Genomic DNA, 12,506 nt, shown 5'->3' with positions numbered 1-12,506 from the left:
ACAGGTTTTGTCGTGAACTTCGACTTTCTAATTTGTAAAGTGAAATAATTAGTCTGACTAAGCATCCCTTTCATTCTGTAAGTTTAAGCAAGCTGTGTGTCTTAACGGTAGTGACAGGTATTCACGAGTTGTTTTGCGATGAAAAGTGAAGTGACTGGCTTCTGTTTAATGGCTAGAAAACCAAGTGGGAGAATTAAACAACTGTTAATGAGTTAATCTGCAGGTTTAACAAGATTTTTTACTTTAGGAGTCGTTTGCTGGTACTCTTTAAGCTTTTTAAAAGAAAACTTGACAAATGTAGTTTTAGTTTTAGAACTATTTATAACTATTTTCAAGTTATAAAAACTTTCAAGAAGCATGAATTCATTATCTAAACTGAATTAATATCTTGTAAACATTTTTTGTGAGAAACGGTTTTTGTGTTTGGTTTTTCCAGTTGAATGAAGACTGTTAGACTTCATGGGGACAAAATTGTTATTGGTTAACATTAAAATAATAAAATTGTTTAATATTTATGAAAGGCCTTTATATTCCAAAGTGCTCAAATTTAACCACGACTTTAAATTACTATATCAGACATGGTATTTTTCTTACTGGTTTTTGAAAAGGACTTGTAAGTTATGAATGCACTATTTTAGGCTTTGTTCAGCAGGCAGTGAAATCTCTTTAGTTCATAATGCATGGTTCAGTGTTCTTTAATATTTTGCAATAAATCTTAGCAGCCAGTGAGAACTTAAAGACATGGAAAAGACTGCAAATGCATGGTCCTTAACTGTTTCTCCTGGGTGAAAACACGCTTCCCTTCCCATGTTTTTTATCCACAGAATTGCCACATCATCATTTTTTCTGAGAGATGTTGGAAGACACTAGAACTTTGAAATTCTTTTTATGGTCTTGCCTGAAATAGATATAATGTGACTTACTTAGAGTACTATTGTCTATAAAACTGTGATTCACCTTTTTTTTGCATTATACCTGTACTTTGTAACACTAAGTTTGAGAAAAAATATCTTAAAACATGTTTGAAGCCACATGCAAAAATAATTGGATTCTTTCTTTGCTATCAAACCTGAAGCTACCAATACAGTTTTTACTAAACAATGTTTTTCATGCAAGCCAGTTTTTACCATGGATATGATTACAGATATTTGTTCCTTGGCTTACAAACTATCCAGTTCTAAGAGTTTCAGCTGTAGTCACCTCTGATAACAGTGTTTCCTACATAGAACATTAGAACTTAAGAATGCTTTATTTTTTTATTTTTATTTTTTTGAGACGGTGTCTTGCTGTGTCGCCCAGGCTGGAGTGCAGTGGTACAATCTTGGCTCACTGCAACTTCTGCCTCCTGGGTTCAAGCGATTCTCCTGCCTCAGCCTCTGGAGTAGCTGGAACCACAGGTGTGTGCCACCACACCCAGCTAATTTTTGCATTTTCAGTAGAGGCGGGGTTTCTCTGTATTGGCCAGGCTGGTCTTGAACTCCTGGCCTCAAGTAATTCACCCTCCTCAGCCTTCTAAAGTGCTGGGATTACAGGCGTGAGCCACCGCGCCGGCCAAGAATGCTGTTTTCTTTTAAACGTGGGGGTTGTTTAGTTTGCTTTGTATGGTTAATGACAGGGATTACATTTAGAAGTTTCTTATCTTTGCAAAAAATTATTTTCCTTAATTTGCTTAACAAAGTTGCTTGAAGTTCTTTGTGCTTCAAGGCATCTTTAGTTTGTGCCATTCATTTTTCCATCTGTTGGGCACTTTTTGAAGTTAAACCACATTTCCCATTAAAAATAACATGGAAGGCAGGGAACAGTGGTTCACGCCTCTAGTCCTAGCTACCCAGGAAGCTGAGGTGGAAGGATCACTTGGGCCCAGGAGTTTGAGGCTGCAGTGAGCTATGACTGCACAACTGTACTCCCAACCTAGGCATCAGAGCAAGACCCTGACTCTTAAAAAAAAAAAAAAAAAATTGATATGCAGTTGTTAAGACTACTAGTAAACTAAAATATAAATATTCTTCGGTGCATTGTAATTGGCATCATTCAGGTGAACTGGGAGATTCTGTTAGTCCAAGGGAAGTTTTTTTTGCCTATACCTGATGTTAAAAAAAGAAATTAGTATTTCAGAGTAAAGGGTAACTGCTTTTTCTGTATTTTATCATTAGGCTTGTTAGCAGTGGCACAAGATCTTACAGAGGATGAAGAAACAGTAGAAGATTCCATAATTGAGGATGAAGATGATGAAGCCGAGGTAGAAGAAGATGAACCCACAGATTTGGTTAGTGTTACATACTATTTAATATATGTAAAATGTATGTAATTGTATTCATCTGTTCTCATGCTGCTAATAAAGACATACCCAAGACTGGGTAATTTATAAAGGAAAAAGGTTTCATTGACCCACAGTTCAGCATGACTGGGGAGGCCTCAGGAAACTTACCATCATGGCAGAAATTGAAGCAAACATGTCCTTCTTCACAAGGTGACAGCAAGGAGAAGTGCAGAGCAAAGGGTGGGGAAAGCCCCTTATAAAAACCATCAGATCTTGTGAGAACTCACTTTCACGAGAACAGCATGGAGGTAACCGTCCCCGTGATTCATTTACCTCCCACCAGGTTCCTCCCACGATGTGCAGATTATGGGAACTACACTTCAAGATGAGATTTGGTTGGGGACACAGCAAAACCGTTATCAATAGTACATCTAGAATTTATCCTTACTTATTTATTTTTAGAGACAGAGACTTGCTCTGTTCCCCAGGCTGGAGTGCAGTGGCACGAGCATAGCTCACTGCAGCCTCGAACTCCTGGGCTCAAGTGATCCTCTTGCCTCAGCCTCCTGAGTAGCTAGGACTACCGTCATGCCCCAACAAGCCCGGCTAATTTTTGTAATTTTTTTTTGTAGAGACAGGGTCTTGCTATGTTGCCCAGGCTAGTCTAAAACTTCTGGGCTCAAGTGATGATCCTCATGCCTCGGACTCTGAAGGCACTGGGATTATGGGCATGAGCCACCACACCTGGCCTAGAGCTTATCCTTATACAAAAATTTAAAATCCCAACTTTTAGAGGTTTGTTAATGTGATCAAAGTGAATTGAAGTTGGGAGAATAGGCACCAGTCATTGAGAACAGAGCATAAGTATTTTCTGGAACAGGGAAGGAGACATGAAATAGTTAACAATTCAGGATCGTGGTGACATGAGTCTAGAAGGGTAACAACATAGTAGAAATAGCACTGGACCTCATGGTTTCATAGATTTGGAATACCTGCTGCTTCCTTTTCTGACTTATCTCTGTGGGTCTCAGTTTCTTTTTCGCTTGCTTGCTTTTACTCTGTTTTTATTCTTTTTGCTTGCTTGTTGTATTTCTGAATCCTTATGTGCCAGGCACTGTTCTTGGTGCTGGGTGGGCAAACCAGATATTTTCTCTGCTCTTTCAGACTTTTTTTTGGGGCAGTTATATGTGTTTTAATGGCAGGGGGTGAGAAGCAGACAACAAACAGTATGTAAAATATATCTGGTGAAGAATAAGGGGGTTAGAGAAGATCTCTTAAAAGTTGTTCAGCTCTGAAATGTTTACTATGTAATACAACAGTAAGAATATTGGGCTGGAATTGGGATCATTGCAGCATGCATCTAGTTAATTTTATTTCCTCTCTGGAACGACTATAATCCATCCTACACAGCTTTTTTTCTTTCTATTTTCGTGTCATACTTGAACCTGGAACCTCTCATGATTCCAGATTTTGTCATTTCCTTCAAAATTAAACCACTAGTTCCCTATTTTCTTATTTCAGTATCAAAATATTTATTCTTATATATAGATTTCTGCTTCTTTTTTGACTTACTTTCATTTTTATGGAATATGTCTTCCAACTAAGCAAATCTGTTGCTATTTTATTGGTGTTTTTGAGTTATCATTTTTATGCTTCTGCACCTACTGTTTTATCTGGATAGGATGTCCCTAGTAATTTGTGAACTCTCCTAATTTCCCCCTCTTTAGGAACTCCTTACTGATTATCTGTGAGTCAAGCCTTTCATATGTATGTATACACATACCTTTAGGGTTTATGTTAAGACTCCACGTCTTCAACCCAGCCTGCATTAAGTGAATAGCTTTAACTAGATTAATACATTTCTGCTGCATTGTTGTTAATAAATATTTGACTAGTTGTGGTAAGATAACTTAGAGTGATGGTTGGAAGGGAATCCATCTAGGAATTTAGGATTAAAGATGGTATTTGGGGCACTGAAATTTGGGCATGTACTGAAATTTATTGATGAATTATATCGTTGTTACCAATTATATGAAATTACTTGTGCTCTCTGGCACTAGAATGTACTTATTGTGGAGGAAGAGGGTAGAAGAGAGATGCTGAACGCCATGAGGCACGCCTGTAATCCCAGCACTTTGGGAGGCCAGGACAGGAGGATCACTTGAGTCCAGGAGTTTGAGACCGCCTGGCCAAAATAGTGTGACACCATCTCTACTAAAAAAATTAGCTGAGTCTGGTGGCTTGCGCCTGTAATCCTAACTGTTGAGGCAGGAGGATCACTTGAGCCCAGAAGTTCAGTGTTACAGTGAGCTATGAGTGTGTCACTGCACTCCAGCCTGGGTGATAGAGTCAGACCCTGTCTCTAAAAAAAATTAAATAAATAAGTAGAGGGTAGGGAGTAGAGAAGGGAACTGTTAGATCCTTGATAGCCTTGTGTCGTTGACCAGAACTTTTCCATATCTTAATTTCTCCTGTCTTGAGAACCATTAGAGGAAAAAGAACAACTCTGATTATCCACTTTCTACCCTGGCCAATTAGTACAGAAGTGTTAGTACCCTCTGCTTTGTTACTTATCTCAAATCAGAAAATAATTAAGGTAGATTGAAATAGAAAGGCAGGAAAAGTATTACCTTCCATTGTACTAGACCACACCAGCAGGGGTAGGCTTGTGTGTAGACTGTCTAAGAAAGATGGGCCCTCAAAGGCAAGGCTGCTACAGAAGTCACCTCCAGAACTGAATGAGCTAGAAAGTTCACCTACTGCTGCTGTTCCCAAGATTTATCACCCTATACTCAGCTGCCAAGGCATCAAGGGATTGGGAGATATGGAAGGATCCTTTGCCACTGGGCCAGTGTCCTGGAGTCAAGTGAAGGAAAAGGGGGTTTTTCATAAGATCTAAGATATCAACAGCTGGTTTAGACACAGGTTATTGGTTTAGAATTTTTGAGGACAAACCTTTTTTTTTTTTTTAAGTCACCTTGGGCTTTCCCCCACCCCCCCACCACCCAGACAGAGTCTCGCTCTGTCGCCCAGGCTGGAGTGCAGTGGCGTGGATCTCCGCTCACTGCAAGCTCCACCTCCCGGGTTCACGCCAGTCTCCTGCCTCAGTCTCCCGAGTAGCTGGGATTATAGGCGCCCGCCACCACACCCGGCTAATTTTTTGTATTTTTAGTAGAGACGGGGTTTCACCATGTTAGCCAGGATGGTCTCGATCTCCTGACCTCGTGATCCGCCCGCCTCGGCCTCCCGAAGTGCTGGGATTACAGGCATGAGCCACTGCACCTGGCCTAGTCACCTTGGGCTTTTCTAACCCATTGATTATTCTTTTACTCTATAAAACTGGGTCGCAATGGAACTTGCCATCATTCCTGAAAGGTTTTTTTGTCCTCCCCATAGAAATGAGAGAGGTTTTTGTTTTAATTTTTATTAAAACAAGAGCTGTAGTAGTAATAACACTAACTAACTTAAAAAAAATTATTTAGCCAGGTGCAGTGGCTCACGCCTGTACTCCCAGCACTTTGGGAGGCTGAGGCGGGTGGATCACGAGGTCAGGAGATCAAGACCATCCTGGCTAACATGGTGAAACCCTGTCTCTACTAAAAATACAAAAAAATCTGCCGGGTGTGGTGGTGGGCACCTGTAGTCCCAGCTGCTTGGGAGGCTGAGGCAGGAGAATGGCGTGAACCTGGGAGGCAGAGCTTACAGTGAGCTGAGATCGTGCCTGGGCACTATACTCCACTACACTCCAGCCTGGGCAACAGAGCGAGACTCCGTCTCAAAAAAAAAATAGTTATTTAAAATAGATGATATATTCAAATGGCTCAGAACTTACAAGGTACAGAATATATGATGAAAAGTTTCCCTTGTGTGCCTTCCAGCCATGAAGTCATCTCCCTGTAGGCAAGCAGTACCACCAGTTTCTATACTCTCCTCTGGAGATTGTTTGCAATAGCTGAAATATTCTGGAGTTTTACCGGGTAGCAGATACTAAGCGTTATACATCTTACATGCTGAATAGCTGTAAGATAAATGAGTTACTTAGTTTTCCACAATCAGTGTTCCAAACATTTGCCATGTTTAAATCCCTAAATGAGTTTTCAGTCTTGGCAGCAACATTGCCTTCAGTGTCAGAAAGTGAAGAAGGCCATCAAGCATGAACTCTATCAGATTTTGTATTTTCTACTTCCAAATATATTATTCACCCATCGTTCTGCATTTTCTTCTTAATAATGAGTTGTCCTTGTTCTCTTCTAAGGCTAACCCTTCCACCTGTGTTCATCTCTTCCTGCGGAATTTTGTTACATTATTCTTTCCTTTTGTAACGTCAGGCATTAATCCTCCTCAGTGATTTGATTCTGTTAAGCCACACATCTGCTTATACTGTTCATCCACATTTGCTGCACCTACTTATCTTTACCAAGACCGGTGGCTTCTTGAAAGAGAAACAGGGACAGCTTTTCTCTTCTGCTCACTTCACATTTATTCTCTATCATGGTCTGGTCCCATATATCTAGTAAAACTAGTATTGCTAAGGTCACCAGCAACCTAATTGCCTAATTCCTTGTTTTCCGTTGTTATCCTGTTGTAGCTCTTTTCCAGCTCTTCACAGGATAGTTTCATCTGAATGCTCCATAAGTACTTCACATTTTATATGTCCAAATCTTTTGCCATGTGTCCTACTCCATAAACTCTTTATTGTTTTGATATGGCTCCAGTGATTCAAGCTGTTGTCTTGTTACTTCTTCCGTTTGTTTTTATTCCAAAACCCATTAATCAGATATCAGGGATTTCTCTTGCTGAAATATACCCTGTTCCTGTCTATCCCTGTCATTTATGGTTTCAGCCTCTCTGTCTCTGTTCTCTTTTCCTACTTATGGGTCTCTTTTCTCAGAATAGAAACTTACTCTTACTAAATGAATGAAATCATTAAGGATACTTAAAATATAACTTACAACACAGTTTCACAGTCATTGAACAAGTGTGTTTGAGTGCACTCTCTCTTAAGTGCATGAGCTGGATGGTGGAGGATTTTAAAATTATGAGATAATCTTTGCTCTTGACAAGTTTTATCTATTGGAGGAAGGAGTATTTTATGTAAGTGAAAAGTTAAATGCCAATAAACAATGGCATCCTGAAGCATCTCAATTTATTAAGAGTCTGGATACTTCAAAGGTGTGACTGTCTCTAATCCATATTGATGCCTGGAGAAATGATGCTGCACTGTGTTTAAAGTTTTAAATAAAATTTGTTCACATTTTAAAAAAATTTGTTGAGATACAGTTTATGTATCATAAAATTCATCTGTTTTAAACATACACTTAGTAAATTTACCAAGTTCTGCAACATAAATTCAGTTTTAGGACGTTTCTATCAACCCAGGAAGATCTCTGGTCACACTCTTTTTTTTTTCCTTCAAAATTATGTGACTGATCCTCACAGGAAAATTTTGTTAATTAGAATGGAAATCTCTGTAGGCTGTTAACAAGGTACTTGAGAGCAGAGGTGGGCATAATGTGGTTGCAAGCCACATCTAGCGATCCCCATTCATTTACGTATTGTCTGAGGCTGCTTTCACACAGTAGCCCCAGAGTTGAGTTGAATAGTTGCAAGAGAGGCTTTATGGTCTGCAAGGCCATATCTGCTATTTGGCCATTTACAGAAAAAGTTTACCAAGCTCTGTTCTAGAACCTTGGAGTTCACAATATGGTCTGAATACCAGCAGCTTTGGCATTTTCTGGGTGCTTGTTAGAAAGAGAATGATAGGCTTTGCCCTAGACCTGAATTAGATCTGCAACATCCCCAAAGAATTGGTAGGCACATTACTGTTCAAGAGGCACTGCTCCAAAAGTTCTGTTTTAATTAATGAGGTATGATGAAATTCTTATTGCTAATCCCAGCAAAGCTGTAGAGAAGCAATATTTCTTCCTAACATAAAGTGAAGTCTTTATTTCTTTTTTTTGAGTCGGAGTCTTGCATTGGGGCATTCTCAGCTCATACAACCTCTACCTCCCGGATTCAAGCGATTCTCCTGCCTTAGCCTTCCGAGTAGCTGGGATTACAGGCATGTGCCACCACACCTGGCTAATTTTTGTATTTTTAGTAGAGAACGGGGTTTCGCCATGTTGGCCAGGCTGGTCTCGAGCTCCTGACTTCAGGTGATCTGCCTGCCTCGGCCAAGTGCTGAGATTATAAGTGTGAGCCACCGTGCCCGGCCAAATCTTTATTTTTAAATAATGATTTTTTTTTCTCCCATAGTAATCTCCTCTTAATTGTTCTTTTTCTTAGGTAGAAGATAAAGAGGAAGAAGATGTGTCTGGTGAACCTGAAGCTTCACCGAGTGCAGATACAACTATACTGTTTGTAAAAGGAGAAGGTAATACAGAAGTATTAGTTTTAATTCAGATGTAGGCATTTTAAAACGATGAGCTTGTTCATATATATCTGAATACCCATATCTGTAAAGTAATATTGTTGGCATTTAAAGGGAATACGTAGGTGATATAGACACAATAAAAAATAAACCAAGGGGAAAAAATAAAATAAATACTACCTAGTTTAACTAGAAATTGACTGTCCTTTTCAAAGATTTTGTTTTTGAGACAGGGTCTGGCTCTGTCACCCAGGCTGGAGAGCAGTGGCCCCCTCTCGACTCACTGCAACCTTCACCTCCCAGGTTTAATCGATTTTCCTGCCTCAGCCTCCTGAGAAAGATGATGTTTTAAAACTTCTTTAAACTGCCACAGCAAAGTAACTTTGTCTTTTTTTTTTTTTTTTTTTTTTTTTTAAGATGTAGTCTCGCTCTGTCACCCAGGCTGGAGTGCAGTGGTATGATCTCGGCTCACTGCAACCTCCGAGGCCTCCCGGTTTCAAGCGATTCTCCTGCCTCAGCCTCCCTAGTGGCTGGGATTACAGGCACGTGCCACCACGCCTGGCTAATTTTTTGTATTTTTAATAGACAGGGTTTCACCATGTTGGTCGGGCTGGTCTCGAACTCCTGACCTCGTGATCTGTCCGTCTCGGTCTTCCAAAGTGCTGGAATTACAGGCATGAGCCACCGCGTCTGGCCCTTTGTCACATTTTGAGTGTTAACCATTAATGAGATACTTAATTTTTCCAATATGGTCTAGGTTAGAGCCTAGGATTTTTTGTTTGTTTGTTTTTTGAGATGGAGTCTTGCTCTGTTGCCAGGCTGCAGTGCAGTGGTGTGATCTCGGCTCACTGCAACCTCTGCCTCCCAGGTTCAAGTGATTCTCCTGACTCAGCCTCCTGAGTAGCCAAGACTACAGGCACGCTCCATCACGCCCAGCTAATTTTTGTATTTTTAGTAGGGATGGGGTTTCACCATGTTGGCCAGGATGGTCTCAATCTCCACCTCATGATCCGCCCGCCTCTGCCTCCTGAAGTACTGGGATTACAGGTGTGAGCCACCACACCCGGCCAGTGCCTAGGTTTTATTAAAAGAAAATAATTATGGCTGATAATTTATTGAGGGCTATATTCTCAATACTTGGCATGTATTATTTAGTTCTGACAAACCCACTGAGCGTAGTCATTGTCGAACTGAAGTTTGGAGAAGAAACTGGTCAGGGCTCCCAGTTCATAAATAGATTGGAGAACACAGGATCCAGACCTAGATCTGTTGGCCCCATAGCCTGTGCTGTACTCAGTGAAACTCAGCTTTGTAGACTACTGTATAATTATTGAAGACTTAATATTGAAAGTTATGAATTTTCTTGGTCTTCTTACATTTTCTGTTTTATTCTCATGTGCTTTTGAACTTTATGCCTGTAGGAAGTATAATTTTATTATGCTTTTTTTCTTCCATTTTTGTAGCTACATCCTTGGGTCTTAACCTTCAAATTTGCATTTTGATTAATTGCTTAACGTGGATTGGGATTGCCTGATTAATTTTTACGTTCTAACAGATGCTAGTTTTCAGATGAAACTCTTGGACTTTATCTTTTCTTCATTCTTCTATTTACCTGCACAGATAACACTAAGCTGGAGGTGAAGGTGACTTCACCAACACACGTAACCCTGCTGCTTGATTATTTCACTGCCAAAAATACGCAACTCTTTTTTACCACATGATTTGGATGTGATCTGGTCTGAAATTGAGACGCTTATTGAATGCTTATGTGGGAGTGCTAGCGTACAGACAAAAGGGTTTCAGCCTATACAGCAACTTGAACCAATTTCTCGTTAGTAGGTGACTGGAGTGCTCTATTGGAAGGGATTCTGACACCAAAGTCCACAGGAAAGGGTGCCAGAATCCATTAGTAATGCCTTTTTAAATATTTTGTGCTCTTTCCATGTGTTCTAATTTTTTTGTCTCTATTTTGTTTCTCAGATTTTCCAGCAAATAACATTGTGAAGTTCCTGGTAGGCTTTACCAACAAGGGTACAGAAGATTTTATTGTTGAATCCTTAGATGCCTCATTCCGTTATCCTCAGGACTACCAGTTTTATATCCAGAATTTCACAGCTCTTCCTCTGAACACTGTAGTGCCACCCCAGAGACAGGCAACTTTTGAGTACTCTTTCATTCCTGCAGAGCCCATGGGCGGACGACCATTTGGTTTGGTCATCAATCTGAACTACAAAGATTTGAACGTAAGATCCTCTAAACCTTCTTTTTGTTTAAGTTAGAGATGGATGGGGGCGGTGACGTTGTTTAATAGAATATATCTGTTCATTCAGTTGCCTGTTTTGTGGTTGAACCTGTGATAGCCACCAGGGAAGCAAAGATAAATTGCACGTTTCTTCTTCAAGTCTAATCCAGTGGGGGAGGCATATGAAAACAGGCACTAGAACATGCTGATAAGTGATGCATACTAGAGATAAGGGGAATAAGGTGCTATTGTGTGGGAGTGGAAGTGAAAATGGAGATGTAAGTAAAGCTATGAGCCGGATCTTAATGGGAAAAGGAGCAGTAAGACACACAATGGAGTCTACAGCTTATTCAGATGTTAAGATCTGTTGCTGGGTACAGTGGCTCACACCTGTAATCTCAGCACTTTGGGAAGCTGAGGTGGGTGGATCACCTGAGGTCGGGAGTTCGAGACCAGCCTGGCCAACCTGGTGAAACCCTGTCTCTACTAAAAATACAAAAATTAGCTGGGCATGGTGGCAGTCGCCTGTAATCCCAGCTACTCGGGAGGCTGAGGCAGGAGAATCACTTGAACCTGGGAGGCGGAGGTTGCAGTGAGCTGAGATCGCACCATTGTACTCCAGCCTGGGCCACAGAGTGAGACTCCATCTCAAAAAAAGAATAAAAGATCTGTCAAATAATTTGTTTTGTACCTCCTTTTGTTGCTTGCATTTTGCCCATTTTACTACTTCTGTTTGTAAATTTAAAGACTGTCTATAATTGTTTTCCCATCATTTTATGTACTCATAGATAAAATAGAACCATATATTTTCAATGTAGTTTCAGCAGCAAGGTTTATCATTTACTTTTTGATTTAGGAGAACCAAATGTCCTAATATAAGCTCTGATGCCTTATGATTTTTAATAATGTATACTATATATCAGTCATCAATGACTGAATGAGAGAACCCTAGTAGAAATAGGTCCTCTAAATGAGAGCACATCTAAACCATTCCTCTGTCAAAAAGTTTTCAGACGAGGAAATTTTATTTTCTCTTGGAAGCTAATTCAACCTTTTCATTACCCTGGTGTTAACATGTTTACCTTGTGTCTGAGTTAAATTTCTAGTGCTGCAATCAAGTTTTCTTTTTTCTGATTACTTAGTAGAGAAAAGGAAGTATTTTCATCCTGTCCTCAAAATAATAACTTACAGTTATTACTTAACTCTATAGTTAAGTAGCTTAAAGAATTACTGATTTTAGCTTGTTTTTGAGTAGAATAAAATTTAATCCAACAGGTATATATGAAGTTTTAGTTCCTTCTTTTAAATTCACCTGTACCACTTTTTTTTTAATCTGTGTATTATTCCTGAAATTATCAATAGAGGAATGCAAATTGAAGGATCTTGAAGTAAAACTTACATAATTACAGTTTAGCAATAAGTGACAGTTTTGACAATGTACTACCTTTGTGAAGAATAGCTGTGTATTGCCCCAGTGAGTCTAATGCATTTGAAAACTGAAATTGTGAACTGATAAAATTATTTCAAGACCACAACATAAAAATATTTTCATACCTAAAGTGACCATCCCATTTATTATGAAGAAATTGGTTTCCAGCCCACTGTCTTTTTTTTTTTTTTTGAGGTGGGAGTTT

General features: G+C 39.7%; 1 protein-coding gene across 3 annotated transcripts in view; it reads left to right on the top strand.

The window, feature by feature from the left end:
* The window catches only part of SSR1 (signal sequence receptor subunit 1), a 32,057-nt gene that overhangs the window by 1,017 nt on the left and 18,534 nt on the right, over positions 1-12,506 (top strand). For 2 of the 3 annotated variants that reach the window (NR_120448.2, NM_003144.5), the window contains exons 2-4: positions 2,154-2,266; positions 8,546-8,633; positions 10,611-10,873. Coding sequence is in view for 2 of the 3 variants with exons in the window: in NM_003144.5 (NP_003135.2) it covers positions 2,154-2,266; positions 8,546-8,633; positions 10,611-10,873 (464 nt within the window). In the remaining variant the exon portion in view is untranslated. The remainder of the gene's footprint in view (positions 1-2,153; positions 2,267-8,545; positions 8,634-10,610; positions 10,874-12,506) is intronic. The other variant, NM_001292008.2, reaches the window with a different exon arrangement.

This window comes from Homo sapiens, chromosome 6 (genome assembly GCF_000001405.40).
Source record: "Homo sapiens chromosome 6, GRCh38.p14 Primary Assembly".
NCBI lineage: Eukaryota > Metazoa > Chordata > Mammalia > Primates > Hominidae > Homo > Homo sapiens.
This window is presented reverse-complemented; position numbering and strand designations above follow the sequence as displayed.